We start from the raw sequence: 19,685 nt of genomic DNA on the forward strand, positions 1-19,685 counted from the left end.
AGCTACTCAGAAGGCTGAGGCAGGAGAATCGCTTGAACCAGGGAAGCGGAGGTTGCAATGAGCTAGGATTGTGCCACTGCACTCCAGCCTGGGCTACAGAGTAAGACTCTGTCTCAAAAAAAAAAGAAAAGCCATCGTGCTGGGCACAGGGCACTGGCCACTTGGCTTCCACAACACAAATCTCCCAGGAGCAGCAGAGAGCACGTCGGGGCTGCCAGGGGTCAGGCAGAGTGTGAGGGGCTTCGGAGGGGTGGGAAACATCCTATCCATCCTTGGCGGTGACGATTACACGGGGGTGCTCATTTGCCCAAATGCATTAAACTGTCCACGTAAAGAGGGTGCCTCTCGGACGATTTTAGGGCAGAGACGTCCGTGCCTGATACTGTCCTGGCAGCCACGTGCCCTCATACACTTGCCCAGACCCTGAATGTGCTACACGGAGTGACCCCAATTACACCGTGGGCCCCGGGTGACTGCGACATGTGAGTGCAGGTTCACCCACGTCACAGACGAACCGCTCCGGTGCAGGGGGAGCTGCGCACGTCGGGGCGGGGGCTGTGGCGTGGGACCTCTGTACCTTCTCTCAATTTGGCTGTAAGCCTACAACTGCCCTAAAATAAAGTCTCTTTATTTATTTTTTTATTTATTTTTACGCAGCTCTCTTTTCCTTAAAATAAAGGCTCTAAAATTGTGTGATTCCACCTCCCTGAGGCTAAGCGAAAGAGCCGCGTCTGCCCCTGTCCTTCCCGGGGGCTGGCAGGGAGTGGGTGCCCGGCGGTGACTCAGCCCTGCAGCCTCCCAGCCCTTCCCCGTATGCGGGCAGGTGATGCGGACGCCTCCGACCCTCGTGGGGTTTGTGGAGAGCGTTGATCAGCGCTGCCGTCAGAACAGGACCTGTGCGAGGCCTCGCAGATGCCGGGAGCCGGGCGGTGCTCTCGGTGCTTCTCATCAAATCCACTGGCTCTTCGAGAGGAAGCACATGTCACAGCCCAGCTCAAACAAGAAGCAAGAAAATCACTCTTCATTTTGGAATTGTAAAATAAAGTAGAAATTATCCTCAGGCTAGAGTGACCTTCCCGTCCTGCCCCAGCCACCCCCCACCTCCCAGCACCTGCCGGTAACAGCCCTGCACACAGCCCCGAGACCCTCCGCCAAACCCAGCCCACCACCCCCGGGAGGGCTGTGGAAGAGGCTAGAGAGCGCATCCCCTCTGGCTCCTGGGGTGGAGGCCTGCTGTGGGTTGGCTGGAATCAGCCCCCCTCCCCCGTGTCCTGGGCCCCTGCAGCCCTGCGAGGCGGACACCTAGCCACCCCTCATCCCAGGGAAGCCAGGGCCAGGGAAGGGCCCAGGAGGGGAGGGTTCGCCCTTCCTGCTGGATGTCGTTCCTTTAAAAATCCCTGCCGCTGGCCGGGCGTGGTGGCTCACGCCTGGAATCCCAGCACTTTGGGAGGCCGAGGCGGGCGGATCACGAGGTCAGGAGATCGAGACCATCCTGGCTAACACAGTGAAACCCCGTCTCTACTAAAAATACAAAAAATTAGCCGGGTGTGGTGGGGGGTGCCTGTAGTCCCAGCTACTCGGGAGGCTGAGGCAGGAGAATGGCGTGAACCCGGGGGGCGGAGCTTGCAGTGAGCCAAGATCGCACCACCGCGCTCCAGCCTGGGAGACAGAGAGAGACTCCGTCACAAAAAAAAAAAAAAAAAAAAAAATCCCTGCTGCTGGAGTGGTTGGGGGAGCCGGCTGGGGGTGCAGACTGTGGTGCCACTGTGGCCGCCGCCATCATTGTCACCATCATCAGCATCACCATCATCAGCTGCCATCCCTGAACCCTCAGGCTTTGCTGGTGGCTGGGAGGGAGGCCGAGGCTGGCATGGCCTGCTGCCCTGACCTGCTTCCTGAACGCTCCGGCCACCCAGGCCTGCGTGGAGTAGGGTCCACGGGCAGACAGATGGGCAGGCCCCTTAGGCAGAGCAGCCCTCCCCATCCCGGCAGTGTGGGGGTCTGCCGGGCAGCCTGAGAGAGGAGTTTCCAGTCATTGCCCAGGCAGGGGTGGCTCAGGAAGCTGCAGTCCCCCCCAAGAGGCCTGATGGTGCTGGGCGGGTTTGCAGCATCCCGGCTGAGAGTCCAGTTGGTGTCACCTGGGCCAGGATGGTGGCCAGTGGCAGCAGCAAGGATATAGGCATGGGGGTGTCCTGCCTGATGCAGAGTCATGGCCAGGGCCTGGGGAGGGACCTGCCCCGTGTCCCCTCCCTGCCTGGGGAAGGGCCCGGACCACCTTCACACAGTCACCCTAGGGCACTAGTGGGGAGTGAAGGAGCCGCCCCCCAGAGCAGGACAGGGAGCTGGTGTGGAGACATGCAGGACAGGGCGCTAGGATGCAGGGGTGCAGGGTGCTGGTGTGGAGAGATGCAGGACAGGGTGCTGGGGTGGAGACTGCAAGGTGCTAAGGTGGGGACGCACACCTGGCAGGGCTGGAGGGAGCACGGGCTGGTGGCAGCCTTGCCTCTCAGGCTGCTCCGGGCCAGGGTGACTTGGGAAAGCCAGGCTCGAGAGGTGAGGCGTTGCCTGGGGTCACACGGCTGGCAGGAATGGCCAGGGCTGGCTGCAGGGGCCCGCACTGCCCTCCCGCCTCCACCAGAACCCGCTATGTTTATTCAGGGACGTGAGGGGGTGCCCAGGTCCAGCAGGTGTTAAGCCGAGCAAAGCCTGCAGCCCCAACGAGACAGCCACGGGAGCTCGGCACCCTCAGTCCCCCAGACAGGGCTCTTCCCCTCTTTGGGCCTCAGTTTACCCATAGGTGAAAGGAGGGCACAGTTAGATGGTCCCTAAGGCCCCAGGGACCCAGGCCAGCCTTGCCCTCCCCCCAGCCCCAGCAGTAGGGCATCTGAGCCTTTCATCAGGAAAAGGAGACTAAATTTATGCCTCAGGCCCCCTCTGCGCTTGGCGGGGCAGAGGTCAGGCTTCCGGCAGCCCCCACCCCTTGACGCAGTTCCCCTTCCCCTCTGGGGGGCTCTGGGGGGGCTCTATTGTTCTCGAGGGCTGGTTCCCAATCTCCCCGAACACTCACTTCCTGTTTCCTGGCTGAGAGGAAACAGAGATTCCTGACCAGGCAGATGCCTTTTTTTCCCTTTCTCTCTTTACATTTTTTAAGGGTATTAAATAATAGTGATAATATGACGGCAGCCTTGGTGCTGAGGAGTGTGGACTCGGGGACTGGAGGAAGCCCAGGGCCACCTGCATGGGGCTCTGTTGACCCTCCTTCGAGAATCTGCTGGAAGCTATGGACCCCTCCTCCCTCCCCACCAGGGAAGGGCCCAGGCATAAACTGTGTGCACTGTGACTGGGAACAGGGAGACCCCGGCACCCTCCCCAGGACTCCCAAGACCCTCCACGCCCTGATCTGACACGTGGGGAAACTGAGGCAGACAAGCTTTCAGGGCACCTATGGTCCCTGACCCTACCGGAGCTCTATGACAACCCCGCAAGAGAGACAGGGATGAAGCCTCCAGGGAGGGACCCTCACACCCTTCCCAGAAGCCCACAGACCCCAGACACACGGGCATCCCCAGGGGAGGGGCCCCCCACCACTGTGCCTTGCGGAGACTGGGGTCCCTGTGGCTCTGGGTTCCAGTCCAGCCCTGCCGGGGAAGGCCCTGGGAGCTTGAGCAGCCACTCCCATGGGGCCTCAGTTTCCTCATCTGTAGATGGGGTCAGATCATTGCCTCCACTTCGCAGGGCCAGGGCAACGGCCCCAGGAGGAGACACCCGAACGCAGCACCTGCTCACAGGCGTACACCGTCTCTCCCGCTATTTTCTCCCCTAAAAGCTTGGAGCGCCTGGTCCCCAGCTCTCCCCACACGGGCAGGCGGGGAGAGGACAGGGCGGCCCCCAGATCTCCCCAGGCGGGCAGGTGGGGAGAGGACAGGGCGGCTCCAGCTGGGGGCCGGGCTGCTGAACTGCCGCCACCTCAACTGGCTGCCCCACAGGCCCTGAGCTCTCGGGAACTTCTCCTTCCGTCGCGGGAGATGAAGTGCTTTTTCCTCTTGACGTTAACGGCTGCCCCATCTGTCGGGCCTGGGCAAATCACAGCCCACCGAGTGGGACTTCTGTGCCATGTACTGGCGCCAGGCGTGAGGGCAGCCTCAGGGGGCCGGCAAGTCCCCCTTCCTCAGCCCCATGGGAACCTCAGCAGGGGTGGGAAGCAGTCTCCAGGGCCTGCAGGAGCGGGATCCCAGAAGCTGGACACTGGGACCAGCCCCGTTCGTGGCGCTGAGGACCCCGAAGGGACACGCGAGGCCCTGGCAGCTGCATTGGGTGGGGACTCTGAACTCACTCGAGGGTCACATGACCCTCCTTCAAGAATCTGCTGGAAGCTACGGACCCCTCCTTCCTCCCTCCTGGGAAGGACCCAGGCACAAACTGTCTGCCCCATGACTGGGAACTGGAGACCCCGGGACCCTCCCCAGGGCTCCGAAGACCCTCCATGCCCTGGTCTGACACGAGGGGAAACTGAGGCAGAGAAGCCTTCAGGGCACCCATGGTCCCTGACTCTACTGGAGCTCTATGACAACCCCGCAAGAGAGACAGGGATGAAGCCTCCAGGGAGGGACCCCCCACACCCTTCCCAGAAGCCCACAGACCCCAGAAGCACAGGCATCCCCAGGGGAGGGGTGCCCCACACACTAGGGGCTCCATCTGGGGCTCACGCTGCTCCACAAGGCTTTCTCAAGTCAGACCACCAGTGCCCACCTCGTGAGCTGCCAGGCAGCACCCAGTGTCCATCTGGGGACCCCTCTCCCAGGCTCACTCCACAGTGGAGGCCTCTTCTCTCTCCTCCCCTCCAGACTCCCTGGGTGCTGCTGGGGACATCCACGGAGCCTGCAGCACACAGCCCCCTGAGCCCACACTGCGCTCTCACCCCAGCCAGGTGTCTCCCCTGTGAAGCAAGTCTCTCCCTAGGGACGGATTCTGCCGTTTAAAAAATAAGATTTTCTTCACCTTCCTACATGAACAAAAATAACAATACAGCAATACCACTGCAAAATCATCAGAATGGCTAAAATGAAAAAGACAGACAACAGCAAGTGCTGACAAGGGTGTGGGGCGGCCAAATGCTCCTGCACTGCTGGCAGGGGACCTGAGAACTGCAGGGCATTCCCTGGCTTCCTGCCCCTCCTGGGACTGGGGACCCCCCAGGGACAGCCTAAGGGAACTGCATTTATCTTCACGTCTGCCAAAAGATAACACGAAGATGTTCAAAGCTAAGCCCCCAGGCTGGTAAGAGCTCCAAGGCACCAGCAGTGTGTGCAGAACTGGGGGGAGTCTGTTCTCCCAGGGATGCTCCCATCACCTGCTGCCAGCAGTGGGGCATGCCGGTCCCCTGGGGTGTGGCCAAGGGGCTGTGTCTCCTGCCCGGGCTGCCGGCCCCTCTCAGGTTCACTTTCCCATCTCTAAGCCCACGTCTCGCTGCAGTTCAAGTTTGCCAGGCCACCAACGGGTGACACGCCCGGCGCAGTGGGGGACTCCGCACTTTCTGCGCACCTGCTCCAAGTCACCTCTTCCAGGTCCGGGTCCCTGCCCTGTGGAGCGCGCACCCGGGCAGGGGCATGGAGCACCGGCAGGACTGGACTTTGTGCTGAGTGTGGTGGCGCCTTAGGAGGAGGTCACACAACCCGATGTGTCCCTCCGCGAAACTCCCTGAGCACTGGGTGTGAAGGGCAGCGGCGCCCAGCAAGGCCGAGGAGGGGCGACTGTTATCCAGGCAGGAAGCGGGGTGGACCGGACCAGGGTAGGGGCAATGTCAGGAGAAGGGGACACTCAGATGCAAAGCCGGTGGGGACCTGCCAAGAAGCCAGCCCACAAGGCCATGGACTCCTCCACGCCATCAGCTGGAGCAGTGGGCAGCCCCAGGAAGGGAGACGGGAGCGGCCAGGGGAAGGGCGAGGGGTCCCCCGGGCGACCCCCGAGGCTCAGGCGCCCGGACTCCAGTCCTGGGCCTCCGTTTTCCACCCTTGAACAAGCGGCTTCCACCTGTGAGCCAGCTGCCTCCTCTGAAAATGGAAGCCCCTCAACTCAGAGGGTGTCGCTCTGGGACGTGGGTCAGGGGCCGGAGCAGGCAGGGAGAGGTGAGAGGAAAGGCTGGGGACCCTCACTTCTCCCTGCCCAAACCCTCGCTCGGGAGCAGACGGCTCCTCTGCCCGCAGGCACCCCTGCCTGGCAGCTCCCTCCAGCCCCCGTCGGGTCCGGGACGTCCTCTGATGGGAAGGTTCCACCACATCCGTGGCTGACAGAGCCAGCCCGTCCGAGGCCGGGGGGCGCTCGGGGTAAACAGGAAGCCCCATCCCTCCCGCACTCTGCTTCACTCCCTCCTCCTGCACCTCCTGCAGCCCGGCTCCCGCGGCCGCGCCTGGTGCCCCTCTGTCTCGCGCCACCTGAGATGCCCAGGCTGGCCTCTGCCAGGGGCTTAGTCTGCCCTCTCCTGGGGCTTCAGAGGCCAAAAGCACCCTGGTGAGGGGTCCGGGAGGCCCGGGAGGGCCCGGGGGGCTCTGCCAGGCCCCTCCACGCCTCTCTGCCCAGCCAGCACGCTCTGGGAAGGTAAGGCAGCCCTTCCCCTTATAACTAACCTCAGAACATTCCCAGGTGGCTGGAAGGCCACTGGACAACATGGCCCTGCTGACAAGAGAGACAATGGGGAAACTGAGGCCTGTGTGGGGCACAAAGCTGGGACCAGAGCTCCAGCTTCCTGCCCCTGCCGGGCCTCCACCTCTGACACCACCCCAGGCAGGGTGAAGCCCTGGGCTCCAGACCTTCCAGTGCCCAGATGAGGACAGGCGCAGGCCTTGGGGTGGCCACACTCTCCCACCAGGTCTCCCCCTCTGTGCTGGGCCCCTGAGGTGAGGGGAGGAGGCCAGGCGTGGGGCCCGGCCTGGCTTCTGTGGGGCTGGAGCCTGGGCAGGAGGCACTGCTGACTCCCAAAATGATTCCCTGCTGAAGGTCTGTGCCATGATCCCAAACACACACCACCAGAGCGGCCAGGGCAGGGAAGGGGGCACCTCCAAGGACCGGAGGGTGAGGGAGGGGCCCGCCTGCCCCTTGCTGAGCCCCTGGGCCTTGGGCACAGAGTGTGCTCCACCCATACCAGAACCCGGGGGCAGCCCCAACCCCCTGGACCCCCAGTACCCTCTGGCGTCCAAGAACCCATGTCTGTCCCCTGCCAACCCCCCGCCCCTCCTGTCCCCGCTGGGCCCCCGACATTAGGGCAAGGCCGCAGCCCACCTCCTGTACCTGCCTCTGAGGCTCCAGGAGCCCAAGAGAGTGGAGTGCCCCTCCTGTGGTGGCTCCAGGCTATGGGATAGGGCAAAGCTGGCACTCTGGGCCTGAGCCCAGGCCTCCTTCCCTTGGGGAGGGTCTAGTCTTGGCCTGGGGAGGGGCTGGGGGCAGGGCAGAGCTTATCAGGAGGGGGTTGCAGTGAAGAACAAGTTGGCAGCAGGCGGTGCCCAGCCCCCCAGGCTGTCACCCAGGAGTCCAGTGCCAGGAGGACAGCCTGGGGAGGACGCAGACTCTGCCCTCGCCCCTTGCCTGTAAGCACAGCAGTCAGTTCACCGGGAAGGCCCCCAGCGGGCCAAGCCTTAGCAACTCGTGCACTCGGCTACTTAGCTATTCCTGCCCCGAGCTGTCCCCTGGCCGGATAGGTCTGATGACAGGGGCTGCTCCAGGTTGGGACATAGGACAAGCTGGGGTGGGGGACATGGGGCTCCCCAAGAAGAGGAAGGAAGGGTGAGGCAGCCTCCTGTGCCGAGCATCCCAGCCCTGTCCGGCCTCCAGGCTCACCTGGGCCGGTCACTTCTCCCTCTGGGCCTCAGTTTCCCCCTCTGTACACAGAAAGGGCTGGATCTAGCCCACCCCATGCTTGTGGGTCCTTCCACCAGGAGGCCAGGGCAGATCCAGGGGCATGCAGGTGGGGGAGGAGGGGGCAGGCCGCAGGGATGCAGGCAGAGGGCAAGAGGGCACCTCCTGGGATGGGGGCACAAGCCTACTGGGCCCCTATACGGTGGAGTAGCTAAGTAGCCGAGTGCACGAGTTGCTAAGGCTTGGCCCGCTGGGGGCCTTCCCGGTGAACTGACTGCTGTGCTTACAGCCAGGGGCGAGGGCAGAGTCTGGGTCCTCCCCAGGCTGTCCTCCTGGCACTGGACTCCTGGGTGACAGCCTGGGGGACTGGGCCCGGCCTGCTGCCAACTTGTTCTTCACTGCAACCCCCTCCTGACAGCTGGAGGGACAGGCTGGCCAGGGCAGGATGAGCCCCTGGGTGGGAGAGCCAGGGGGCCGAGGGAGGCACAGGGCGGCTGAGGGTGCAGCCAGTAGGGTAAGGGCCAGATCCCAGGGTGGCCTAGTGTGGAGGAGGTGGGGAAATGGGGTTCTGCCTATCTGCTCCAACCTCAGGGCAGGGGCCACCTCTGGAAAGAGGCCCCTCCCGCTCAGACCAGCGGTGCCTGGGTGCCAGGAGCGCCCCCTTAAACCAGCTCAGTGACCATGAAGCAGGTGCAGAAACAGGCCCGGAGAAGAGTGAGGTCCTGCCTGGCTGAGGCCCTGAGCCCTGACCACAGCCTGGCGCCCAGAGCAGACCCTTCCCCTGGCCGTGGGTAGAGGGGAGCTGGTTCCTGCTTGAGGGGGAGGCGCATCGCGTGTGGGTGAGGTTTCCACCTGCCCTCCAAAGTCCCGTGGGGAATTTCCCCAGCTGCCCCAGCCTCCCTTGGCTCAAGTTGCCCAGCTGAGTGGGGCTGGAGAGGTGGGGGCACACTGACCGCCCAGGGCCAGGGAAATGGGGGTGTCCCAGGCATCAGGCCGACAGGGGCTGACCCCAAAGCAGGGCTCACACCCCACGGACAGCGGGGTTGGGAGAGGCCCTGCTCTCCTGGGGTTCCAGGCGTGCCCTCCAAAGCCACCCAGCTCCCTTCGGCACCGTGTCCCCTCCCACCCAGCCCACCTTTGCCACAGTGGCTCGCTCGGCCTGAGGCTCCCACTGCCGTGTGAACAGGGAAGATGAGGGTCAGACCTGGAGGCTGGGACGCCGGGAATCTGACAGAGCACCCCCTGTGATCACCCACAGTGTCCCGCATCCCTCCCCACACCCCCGGCCGCAGCCTGCTGCCAGCCCAGAGCACCCCTGTGAAGTGGGGCTGAGGGCATTGGGCCTGCTTGCCCATCTCCAGGGCAGGGGCTCACAGCCTCACTGGCAGCTCTTTTAGGGGAGAGAGCTTGGACTCCATGCTTGTCCCCTCCCGTCACCCCCTCACCATGGGCCTCAGGGACCCACGGAACAGGCTGTTCTCGGACCGCTCAGCCTGTCTTGCCACCCCAGTCCCTTCCTGCCGGGCCTCGCCACTCGCCATCCCTCACTGGTCAAGGCTCCTGTGTGGCTGGTCCCTGCCTTGGCCTGGGGCCCCTCCAAGCTCCCGTGCTGTGTCACACACATCTGGGGGTGTCCTGGGGGAGGGCCCAGCATCCTTGGCCCAAAGATGCAGCAGCTCCCTTCTGTCCAGCCACACGTGAGCATGGCCTGTGAACCCACGGTCCTGGGAGGGCCCTGGGCTTGCGTCCTCCACCCCACACTCTCCCCAGGGTCTCCAGCAGGGTCCAGCCCTGGTTTCTGGCTGTTTTGGGGCTAGACTCTGATGGCCCAGGGGACGGCTTCCCCACCCCTGGGCAGTTTGTCCAGGCCCCCTCACACGGTGGCCCCCACCCCCCTCAGCCTCCTGTTTGTCCGACGACACGTCCCCGTTATCAGCGGAGAACACACACAGGAAGTCCGGCTGGGAAGGGCCCATCCCAATCCCGATTACCCAGGACGGAGCATAAAAAGCCGCCCTTCCTCGCCCGGGGGGAGCCTCCCTGCACCAAGCTGGCCCTGCACGGCTGCAAGGGAGGCTCCTGTGGACAGGCCAGGCAGGTGGGCCTCAGGAGGTGCCTCCAGGCGGCCAGTGGGCCTGAGGCCCCAGCAAGGGCTAGGGTCCATCTCCAGTCCCAGGACACAGCAGCGGCCACCATGGCCACGCCTGGGCTCCAGCAGCATCAGGTATGGCAGGGGTGGCCTCGGAGGGGCAGGGAGCGGACAGGGCGGGCCCCCCATTCCCCTCACTCCCGCTGACCGTGGCGCCTGCTGGCTGCTCCGCAATCTGCTCCCCAGCGAGGTCACAGGGGAGGGGTCCCAGTCTCCTCCCCTTCTGCACAGAGGAGGCCACTGAGGCCCCTTGGCCAAACGCCTGCTAGTGGGTGGCCCAGCGTAGATCCCAATCCAGTCTGCTGACTCCAACACTTCACCCCCAGTCGCCCTTCCCCTGAACCCCACCCTCTGGCCTTTCTCTCCCTCCGCAGAGCAGCCCCTGTGGTTGGCAGCAAAGTTCAGCTTGGCTGGGCCCGCTGTGAGGGGCTTCGCGCTACGCCCTGCGGTGTCCCGAGGGCTGAGGTCTCCTCATCTTCTCCCTAGCAGTGGATGAGCAACCCAACGGGGGCCCGGGGAGGGGAACTGGCCCCGAGGGAGAGGAACCCCAAAGCCACATCTGTAGCCAGGATGAGCAGTGTGAATCCAGGGTGCGGGACGTGGGGCTCGGGCTTAGGGATGACTTGCTGGGTGCGGTGGGCAAATGGGTGACTCTGTGGGCCCCCCTTGGACCCTGGAGACGCCCTTGTTCTCCCTCTCCCCAGCCTCATGCAGAGTGGCTGAAGCCCCATCCCAAAGCCCCCAAAACCACAGTGGGTCCTAGAAGGCCCCACTTTTTGTCTCATACGTCCACACCAAGAAGCCTGTCTGAGAACCCCCACTTTCCAAATGGTGCCTAGCCAGGATGGGGGCAGCGAGGGCTGAGTCGGGGCAGCCCTGGAGCTGCCCTTTCTGCTCCATCGCCTCTTCCAGACTCAGGCAGGAGAGGTGGGGAGGCAGGTCAAAGGGTTAAGTGACCGCAGATCCAGAGATGAGGCCAGGGGCAGGGGACAGGGAGGGTGGCGGTGGCTCTCCCACCCAGAGGCCCCCTAGGCCCCACTCTGAACACTTCACTGCTGGGGGCTAGGTAAGAGCTGCCCTGCGTGGGCTCAGGGCGCCAGGAGGCCTAGGACTCCCCAGTCAGATGAGGAACGCCCCCTGACAGCAGCTGCTCTGGTCGTCCCTTGGACCACGTGCCAGGGGCTTCCAGGGCCCCTGGTCCAGAGCAGTGGCCACTGGATTGCAGGGTGGGGCGGCCTCATTTTGGGGACTCCTCTCCAGGGACCTGGGCCCCTCCCTTCCTCCAGCTCCCATGCACCAAGGTAGGACCAAGCTGGTGGCCCTCTCGGACCCATCTGCAGGCCCCTTGCCCAGCACCCTGGGTTACATGGAGAGACCTCCAGCTCCACTCACAGCAGCCTCCCATCCCCATGCCAGGGAGTCCAGGGCTGGAGGCAATAACCCCATTTTACTGAGGCCAGGGGCTGCGGATCCGAGAGGACAATCAGCTCAGGACAGGATGGGGTCGGGGTAGGTGCAGGACAGGGGCCTGTAGGCCTAGTGCAGGCGGAGGTCCCACAGCAGCACCGAAAGCTGGTCCCGGGCCCCTTCCCAGCCCCCAGACATCAGGGTGACCAGGACTGTGCATAGGCACTAACCCACAACTCCTCTCCAACCAGCAGCCCCCAGGACCGGGGAGGCACAGGTGGCCCCCACCACCCGGAGGAGCAGCTCCTGCCCCTGTCCGGGGGATGACTGATTCTCCTCCGCCAGGTGAGTCCCAGCAAACCCCTTGCTCCGAGGGAACACTTCTCACACCGGCGCCCACGCGGGTTATGACACAGGGCGCTGGCTCCGGCTGGGGTCTGAGGGGCTGCTGAATTGGGCTGGCCCGAGCCCCACGTGCCGCGCCCGCAGTAACAGCTGTAACAATTGTTGTGTGGCCACGACCTCACCGTCACTAGATCCCAGGGCTGTTTAGCCCCATCTTATAAATTTGGAAATGGAGGCCTGGAGAAGAGAGGTGACCAGCCCAGGGACCTCTGGTGTGAGGAGACTCTCTGGGGGCCTGTGGATTCGCTGGGAGGAGTGTTCTGCGATGGCCCTGACTGTGCTGAACTCAGCAGTGACCCAGTGACCCCGGTGAGGGTGCCTGATGCCTGAGAGAGGGCCAGGTGGGGGCCGGCGCAGGGGCCCCCAACCTAACACGCTAAGGCTAGGAGGCAGGCCTGGGCTCTGCCATGTGGTCTCAGAGGAGATCTGGGTCTCTGGGCCTGCGGTGGGGACGGTCATGATGCCCACTGCCTGCGAGGCTGCAGGACCCAGCTCAGTGCTAACCTGCGCCGGGCGCCTACCGCGCGGCCCCCCAGCGGCTGAGATGGGCGTCCCGGGGTGGTTTTCAGCCTGGGGGGCTTGAAAGCTAGCAAAGGGCCCGCAGCCCCGTCAGTGTGGGCGCCCTGGGCGGCCTCTCCTGGCTCCTGGCGGCCGGGCTTGGTCGTGCGTCCCCAGCGACCGCGCAGCGAGCGCCCTGCCGCGGGGACTCGGGCCCCAGGATTCCCGGAGGGGGTGCTGGCGGGCCGCGGCTCAGAGGCGCGTTTGCGTCAGCCCCGGGTTCCAGCAGAGTCACTGCCCGCCCGGGGGCAGCTCGTCCGCCGCGGGGCCTCAGTTTCCCCGTCTGCGCAATGGGGGCGGGGCGGGGCCGCCAGGTGGGGCGGGGCCGGGGGCGGGGCGGGGCGGGGCTCGGGGCCCCCACGGCGCGGGCTCGGGCGGCAGTGGCGGCGGCGCGTGCGCGCCCCGGATCCGGCGGTGAGTGCGGAGCGAGCGGGGCGCGCCGGGGTCGGGGTCCGGTCGCCGCCCGGGCTGGGTCGAGGGCGGGACCCGCGGAGCCCCCGGGGGCGGGGAACCTGGCCGCGCGCGGAGCTGGGGGCGGCTCCGGGACGAGGCAGCGCGACCGCTGGGGCCGGGGGCGGAGCGGGCCGGGGCGCCCGCGGCTGGGTCGGGCCGGGCCGGGAGAATGGGCCCAGCGGCCCCGGGAACCGGCTCCCCCTGCCGGCGGCGGGCGGGCGGGCGGCGCGGCGGGGAGGGCCGGGGTCGCCGCGGCCCCTCGTCCGACCCGGCGCGACTCAGCGCCTCGGGGCCCAGCCTGTGCCGCCTGCTCCGCCCCCCGCGAACCCCGGAGCCAGCAGCGCGGCTGGGAGGGGGCGGCGGGCAGGTCCGTCTCGCTCCGCCTCTGCGCCCTCCCTCGTGGGCCCCGCGGTCCCCAGCCCTGCTCCCGCCGCGAGGGGTCCGCCAGTGCCTGCGGCGCAGCCAGGCCCCTCCCTCTGCGGACCCGGCCTCTCGCGGGTGGGGGCTGCGGGGCTGCTGCCGGGCAGGTGGGGAGGGAGCCCGTGGGCGCTGGGGGCACGGGGACCGGACTGCTGGTCCACCTGGCGCCGCCGCCCCCTCCCCGCCCGGCACCCCTGGGTCGAGGCCGTGGCCCCCCCCGGGGAAATGGGGCTTGCAGCACCGGCTCGGAGAGCACCACGGGCTTCCTCTGGCCTCGGGAAAACATGACTTTCAAAAATTGAGTCTCCACTTAGCACCGCTTCCTGTCCAGGCGACTCTCAGGAATTGTGGGGGGGAGCTGTGCCAATATGTGTGGGGGGCAATGAGGTCTGGGAGATTCGCCTACCCCCAGGCCCGCCCTGGCATCCCCCTGCCCACATCAAGCCGCCGGGCCGCTGCCCTACCTCTTCCTTCCCGGGTCCCACTCCCCAATGTCCCCCGACTTCGAGTCTTGCCTTGAGGTCGCACCAGACCCAGCCCCTAACAGTGTCCTTCATCCAGGGCCCATCCCCAGAGTTAATCTCCAGCCAGCTCTGCCCCCTCGACAAACTCCTGCCCAAAAACTGCTGTGATGCCCCCCCTGCCCCCAAGCTAAGTCCCCACCCCTCAGCTGCCCAGGGCAGCCTCTGCCTAGTTGGCAGCCTCTGCCCTGCCCTCCTCTCTCCAGCGCACAGAGGACTGGAGGCCCAGGAAGGACCCCCAGCCACCCTCCCCGCTGGGACCGGGTGATGCCTTGGCAGTGCCCGTGGGAAGCAGGTGTGGGATCGTGCTCCACACCCAGTGGGGCTGGCCAGCAGCGACTGAGGACAGTGTGACTATTTATAGGACTGGCTGTCAGAGCTGAGGAGGGGCCTCAGAGACCCTATTCTAGTGTGTGAGGAAACTGAATCCCAGAGAAGGGACAGCCTTACCCCAGCCTCTGCCCCGACCCGAAGCCTGGCCTTTCCCTGCGGAGGGCCCTGCAGTGCCTCGGAAGGAACCCACCCAGCCTTTGGGAAGCACCCGTGAGAGGCCCTGGGTGGGACCCTGCAGCATGGCAGGGGCTCGCCAGGTCTCCAGACCCCTGGCTGCGCATAGGACAGAATCCCCATCCCCGGCATTGCCACAGACCATTAATTCTGGGCTCTCATGCTCTCAGGAAGCCTCACCCGGGCCCCTGGCTCCTGCTGCACAGCCAGGAGGGGGTTGGATTCCGGTTCCGGTGACACTGTCGGGGGCTGCTCCTCACCCCCAGGTGTGCACCTGGCACAGCCACTGTCCCAGGATCCCTGGAGGCTGATTGCACACATATCCCAGCCTGGGAAGGACCCCCTCTAAAATGAAGGCCGCCCCTCTGGTGGTCTTAGAATGTGTGCACCCTCCGCACGGTTCCTGCTGGCTTGCAGCTGCTGGCCCACCTGCTGGGGCCGGTTCCACACTCAGATGAGAAATCAAATTCCAGAAGGGCTGAGGCCGGCAGGTCCCTGGTGGGGCTGGATCCCAGCTCTGCCCACGAACACCCCGTTTGCATAGACTGGGGTGCAAACTCACCCCTGCCCTGCTGTGAGGAGGGCCCTGGAACCAGGCAGGACAGGAGAAACGGCCACCCGTAGCTGGAGCCATCCTTCCCGGAGCCTCGGGCAGATGCCCAGCAGGATCCACTCGATTCCTGCACCAAGAGCTCTGGACAGCGTCACCCCCCCTGTGCCCCCAGGCTGTGGCCCCAGCTGTTTGTGCCTGGCGAGGGTCTGGCTAGCTGGAAGAGGGGGCCAGCGGAGGAGAGAGTGGGCGCCACCGTGGGGCTGTCCCACCGGTGGAGGCTCCAGCGGAGATGAGCTGGGCAGGCCTCGCGGAGCAAGTGCAAACTGCACCCGCGTCCTGGGGGCATCTGCGGGGAGACTTAGGGGTCATGCTTTGTGCCCCAGGCCACCCAGAGGAGAAGGCCACCCCGCCTGGAGGCACAGGCCATGAGGGGCTCTCAGGAGGTGCTGCTGATGTGGCTTCTGGTGTTGGCAGTGGGCGGCACAGAGCACGCCTACCGGCCCGGGTGAGCCAAGCCCTAGCCTGGGAGTGCTGGGGTGGGGGGACCGGGAGCCCTCAGCACCTCCTAGAGGCGGCCCTCAGCACCTGTCGGGGACTCCCTGGGGGCTCCTGCTGAGGGTCCTGCCCCGGCCACATGTTCCCATCATTCTTGGGTCCTGCTCTGGGACTCCTGGGCTGACCCCCTCTCCACCCCCGCAGCCGTAGGGTGTGTGCTGTCCGGGCTCACGGGGACCCTGTCTCCGAGTCGTTCGTGCAGCGTGTGTACCAGCCCTTCCTCACCACCTGCGACGGGCACCGGGCCTGCAGCACCTACCGGTGAGTGCCCCACCACACCGAGCTCACCCAGCCCCAGCCTCCCAAGTCGGCCACACATCAGCATGTCAGGGGCGAGGCGGGGGTGAATCCTGGGACCCAAGATGGGAAACTGAGGCCAGAGCCATGAGAGGGCTGCCTGAGATGGGCGACCCAGGGCGGCCGGAGCCAAGGGGTTCCACGATCACCTCCAGTGTCCTAATCCTTGCTCTTGCCCCGACACGTCTCAAAGGACCGCACCTCTAAGAGCATCCCCATGTTTAGAGGGGTCACCCATCCTGTCTGCACCCCTCCACTTCCGGGGGACTAACCCCTCCCTACCCTGGCATCCCTGGCTGCAAGTTCCCATATACACAGAATGGTGCCTGACTCCCCTGGTCCCACTCCACTGGGCACCCCCCTCCACATGACGGCCCCCAGTGGGCACAGATGAGACCCTGAAATGTCCTGTATGCCCACACAAGGGGCACACACCCCTAAGTCTCAGAGTCCTCCTTCCTGGGTGTGGGAGCTCCACCCCCTGCTGGGGGAGGGGCCTGGGAATTCAGACTTCTGGAGGTTTAAGAAGGGCTCCGATGCCCAGGGCCCACACTCTGCCGTGACTCGCCGTAGGCCGGGCACACCCTCTCCTCTGGGCCTGGATGCCCCCACAGTAGGAGACCAGATAGGTGGGGGCACACACAGGCCTGGCCACTGCCTCTGCTCCATGCGGAGTGTGGCTGGGCCTTCCTGCTGTGGCTTGAGTCCCGGCCAGCACCGGAAGGCCCAGGCAGGGAAACGGCTGTGCAGTGACCCCTCAGTGCCATCCCTTGAGGAGAAGACCCTTGGGGGCATGCTGGGGTGACCCTGTGCACTCTGAGAGGGGACTCTAGATGCCCAGCAGGTGACTAAGGGGGAGTAGGATGCCCCTCTGAGCTGTCCCACCCACCCCACAGAACCATCTATAGGACCGCCTACCGCCGCAGCCCTGGGCTGGCCCCTGCCAGGCCTCGCTACGCGTGCTGCCCCGGCTGGAAGAGGACCAGCGGGCTTCCTGGGGCCTGTGGAGCAGGTGAGGGCTATGTCCCTCGGCGCCCGGTGTTAGGAGGGCGACTGTTCCCCAATCTTCCAGCAACGCTCCTGCTGCTTTTCTTGAACCCCGAGCAAAGCACCACCTTGCCGCAGAGCACCCACTCCCTAGCAGCTGCCCCCACAGGGTGCTGGGGACCCAACTGAGCTGGTGACCAGCCTCCCCCGCCCACAGCAATATGCCAGCCGCCATGCCGGAACGGAGGGAGCTGTGTCCAGCCTGGCCGCTGCCGCTGCCCTGCAGGATGGCGGGGTGACACTTGCCAGTCAGGTGAGGCTGGCTCTACCCTGGGGGGCCCTGGAAGGGTCCTGGGCACCTCCTTGCATGTCCTGGGGTTACTGCTGGCCCATGAGTGGGTGGTTGTGAAGGGAGCTGTGTGGGCAGGACCCCTCCCGCAGGCATGGCCGCCTGACACCCCGTTTCCTGCAGATGTGGATGAATGCAGTGCTAGGAGGGGCGGCTGTCCCCAGCGCTGCGTCAACACCGCCGGCAGTTACTGGTGCCAGTGTTGGGAGGGGCACAGCCTGTCTGCAGACGGTACACTCTGTGTGCCCAAGGGAGGGCCCCCCAGGGTGGCCCCCAACCCGACAGGTAAACAGCCCTGGCTGTGCCTGGCCTGGGGAGGCGGGCAGGCAGTGGACATTGCCGTGTGGCTGTTAGGCATGGTGGGGGGCACTGGAATCTGGGCGGAAGGCGGTGGGGACTCCCTCTCCAGGGAGGGAGGATGGGGAGGGAGGATAGGTGGGTTCCCGAGAACTGGGGGCAGGTTGCCCGGAGCCTCATATCAGCCAAGAAGGCAGAAGTGCCCCGTCCCGGGGTCCTGTCTGCATCCAGCGCAGCATTCTGGAAGACGCCACGCCTCCGCTGGCGACGGGACATTATTACTTTTGGTACGCGCTGTGACACTTCAAACTCGTACCGTGAGTAATAATGCGCCGTCCACGGCACCGCATCGAAAACGCCGCTGAGACCTCAGCCTTGACCTCCCTCAGCGTGGCCGGGACCCTGAGCCTCTGCGCAGAGCCACCCGCCCCGACGTACTTAGGCGGCATAGCCCTGAGACCTCTGGCCAGCGCCAGGCAGGCAGCGGGGGCGGCAGAGGCCTGGGCCTGAGTCTTCTGGCTCTGCCTCTCCCTGGGGACAGGAGGGAGCCTGGGGGTGTGGGTGGGGAGCCGGCCGGCCGTGACCCAGCGCCTGGCTCTGCCCGCAGGAGTGGACAGTGCAATGAAGGAAGAAGTGCAGAGGCTGCAGTCCAGGGTGGACCTGCTGGAGGAGGTGAGGCATTGGTGGGGGGGGGGGGGGGCAGGCAGTCCAGGGTGGACCTGCTGGAGGAGGTGAGGTGTGGAGGGGCAGGCAGTCCAGGGTGAACCTGCTGGAGGAGGTGAGGCATCGGGGGGGTAGGCAGGCAGTCCAGGGTGGACCTGCTGGAGGAGGTGAGGCGTCGGGGGGGCAGGCAGTCCAGGGTGGACCTGCTGGAGGAGGTGAGGCGTCGGGGGGGCAGGCAGTCCAGGGTGGACCTGCTGGAGGAGATGAGGCGTCGGGGGGGGAGGCAGGCAGTCCAGGGTGGACCTGCTGGAGGAGGTGAGACGTCGGCAGGGGGCAGGTCTTCACAACAGCAGAGGCCCAGGCCCGGGTACAGGCTCCGTAGTCTCCTGGGACATGGTCCCGACCCACGGATGGCTGGGGGTGGTCTGAAAAGGTCCTGGCCCTGGGGAGGTGGCTTCCTCGCTGCTGACTGCCGAGGGGGCCCTGGCCTGGATCCATGCTGGGCAGAAGCAGCTGGACACTGACCAGGACCCCCCAGGGCCGGAGGAACCAAGCTTGACAGCCCCCCAGACAATACACAGAGCCTGGACCCAGACGAGACCTCCCCACCCCCCCATCTTTGTCCCCACCAGGACAAAGAGCTCTTGCCAGTCTTCCCACTGGCCAGTGGTCCAGCTGTCCCCCTAGTTCTCCTGCCAGGGACCCCAAGGCTGGGACCACCCCGCCAGCCTGATGCCCCAGGCACCCACTCTGCGGCAAGCTTTTCTGCCACGGCAGCCCCCTCTAGTGGACACTTGGAGCCCTGCCGCGGAGGCGGGGGCTGGAGGCTTGTGGAGCCCTTCCCAGGGGTCCTCCCTAGACCCCGGTGGAGCAGAGAGGGCGGGGGCCGGCCCAGGGTCACTGCCCTTCTGCACCCACAGAAGCTGCAGCTGGTGCTGGCCCCACTGCACAGCCTGGCCTCGCAGGCACTGGAGCATGGGCTCCCGGACCCCGGCAGCCTCCTGGTGCACTCCTTCCAGCAGCTCGGCCGCATCGACTCCCTGAGCGAGCAGATTTCCTTCCTGGAGGAGCAGCTGGGGTCCTGTGAGTGCCCCCACCCTCCAGAGCCCTCCTCCCGGGTCTGGGCCCAGTGGGCCTAGAGGGGCTACCCAGGCTTGGGGGTCGGGGGCGACCAAAGGCCAAGGGGCCAGTCAGATCTAGCTGGGCGGGGAGGCTGTGGGGAGCAGTGATCTCTGACCTTCGCCTCATCCAACCCTAGGCTCCTGCAAGAAAGACTCGTGACTGCCCAGCGCCCCAGGCTGGACTGAGCCCCTCACGCCGCCCTGCAGCCCCCATGCCCCTGCCCAACATGCTGGGGGTCCAGAAACCACCTCGGGGTGACTGAGCGGAAGGCCAGGCAGGGCCTTCCTCCTCTTCCTCCTCCCCTTCCTCGGGAGGCTCCCCAGACCCTGGCATGGGATGGGCTGGGATCTTCTCTGTGAATCCACCCCTGGCTACCCCCACCCTGGCTACCCCAACGGCATCCCAAGGCCAGGTGGGCCCTCAGCTGAGGGAAGGTACGAGCTCCCTGCTGGAGCCTGGGACCCATGGCACAGGCCAGGCAGCCCGGAGGCTGGGTGGGGCCTCAGTGGGGGCTGCTGCCTGACCCCCAGCACAATAAAAATGAAACGTGAGCTGCTGTGTCAGTGGATGGACTGGGGGCCTGGGAGGAGGGCG

The 19,685-nt window shown here is 65.6% G+C and overlaps 1 protein-coding gene, 2 long non-coding RNA genes and 1 other non-coding gene across 19 annotated transcripts in view, besides 3 other annotated features; 3 read left to right on the forward strand and 1 right to left on the reverse strand.

The window, feature by feature from the left end:
- The window catches only part of LOC102724193 (uncharacterized), a 7,413-nt gene extending 6,353 nt beyond the window's left edge, over nt 1-1,060 (forward strand). The window contains exons 3-4 of one of the 2 annotated variants that reach the window (XR_930443.3): nt 360-482; nt 658-1,060. This is a non-coding gene — a long non-coding RNA (uncharacterized LOC102724193). The remainder of the gene's footprint in view (nt 1-359; nt 483-657) is intronic. The other variant, XR_007061867.1, reaches the window with a different exon arrangement.
- The window catches only part of LNCEGFL7OS (lncRNA EGFL7 opposite strand), an 11,812-nt gene extending 4,427 nt beyond the window's left edge, over nt 1-7,385 (reverse strand). The window contains exon 1 of the long non-coding RNA NR_135132.1: nt 7,285-7,385. This is a non-coding gene — a long non-coding RNA (lncRNA EGFL7 opposite strand). The remainder of the gene's footprint in view (nt 1-7,284) is intronic.
- Nucleotides 2,066-2,690: an enhancer, noted in NCBI's record as "H3K27ac-H3K4me1 hESC enhancer chr9:139549554-139550178 (GRCh37/hg19 assembly coordinates)". NCBI's record gives its function as "activates a minimal SCP1, AML or CMV promoter by ChIP-STARR-seq in naive H9 embryonic stem cells {active_cell/tissue: H9 hESC(naive)}" and the evidence as "EXISTENCE:reporter gene assay evidence [ECO:0000049][PMID:30033119]".
- Nucleotides 5,820-19,642, forward strand: EGFL7 (EGF like domain multiple 7). 15 transcript variants are annotated; one of them, NM_016215.5, is made up of 11 exons: nt 9,880-10,072; nt 10,372-10,587; nt 11,656-11,749; nt 15,205-15,326; nt 15,521-15,637; nt 16,570-16,685; nt 16,878-16,973; nt 17,133-17,294; nt 17,914-17,978; nt 18,890-19,052; nt 19,228-19,642. In NM_016215.5, exons 4-11 carry the CDS (start codon nt 15,247-15,249, stop codon nt 19,248-19,250), a joined length of 822 nt encoding a protein of 273 aa, NP_057299.1. In that variant the 5' UTR covers nt 9,880-10,072; nt 10,372-10,587; nt 11,656-11,749; nt 15,205-15,246; the 3' UTR covers nt 19,251-19,642. The 15 variants fall into 15 exon arrangements, 12 of the variants coding, with proteins under 12 accessions (XP_016870288.1, XP_016870287.1, XP_016870284.1 ...); NR_046367.1 differs by lacking the exons at nt 9,880-10,072; nt 10,372-10,587 and adding an exon at nt 5,820-6,594; XM_017014799.1 differs by lacking the exons at nt 15,205-15,326; nt 16,570-16,685 and adding an exon at nt 5,820-6,594 and having other exon boundaries at nt 9,749-10,072.
- Nucleotides 16,397-16,898: an enhancer, noted in NCBI's record as "H3K27ac-H3K4me1 hESC enhancer chr9:139563885-139564386 (GRCh37/hg19 assembly coordinates)". NCBI's record gives its function as "activates a minimal SCP1, AML or CMV promoter by ChIP-STARR-seq in primed H9 embryonic stem cells {active_cell/tissue: H9 hESC(primed)}" and the evidence as "EXISTENCE:reporter gene assay evidence [ECO:0000049][PMID:30033119]".
- Nucleotides 16,899-17,398: an enhancer, noted in NCBI's record as "H3K27ac-H3K4me1 hESC enhancer chr9:139564387-139564886 (GRCh37/hg19 assembly coordinates)". NCBI's record gives its function as "activates a minimal SCP1, AML or CMV promoter by ChIP-STARR-seq in primed H9 embryonic stem cells {active_cell/tissue: H9 hESC(primed)}" and the evidence as "EXISTENCE:reporter gene assay evidence [ECO:0000049][PMID:30033119]".
- Nucleotides 17,566-17,650, forward strand: MIR126 (microRNA 126). The gene has a single exon (NR_029695.1). It is a non-coding gene; the product is annotated as a microRNA 126 (primary transcript).

Source organism: Homo sapiens, chromosome 9, assembly GCF_000001405.40.
Source record: "Homo sapiens chromosome 9, GRCh38.p14 Primary Assembly".
Taxonomy (NCBI): Eukaryota; Metazoa; Chordata; class Mammalia; order Primates; family Hominidae; genus Homo; species Homo sapiens.

What these genes read in the sequence shown, in the direction of transcription:
- EGFL7 (NM_016215.5), top strand. Translation starts at nt 15,247, where the DNA reads ATGAGGGGCTCTCAGGAGGTGCTGCTGATGTGGCTTCTGGTGTTGGCA. An exon ending in GAGCACGCCTACCGGCCCGG is followed by an intron (nt 15,327 to 15,520) that starts GTGAGCCAAGCC and finishes CCACCCCCGCAG; the next exon opens with CCGTAGGGTGTGTGCTGTCC. An exon ending in GGGTGACACTTGCCAGTCAG is followed by an intron (nt 16,974 to 17,132) that starts GTGAGGCTGGCT and finishes CGTTTCCTGCAG; the next exon opens with ATGTGGATGAATGCAGTGCT.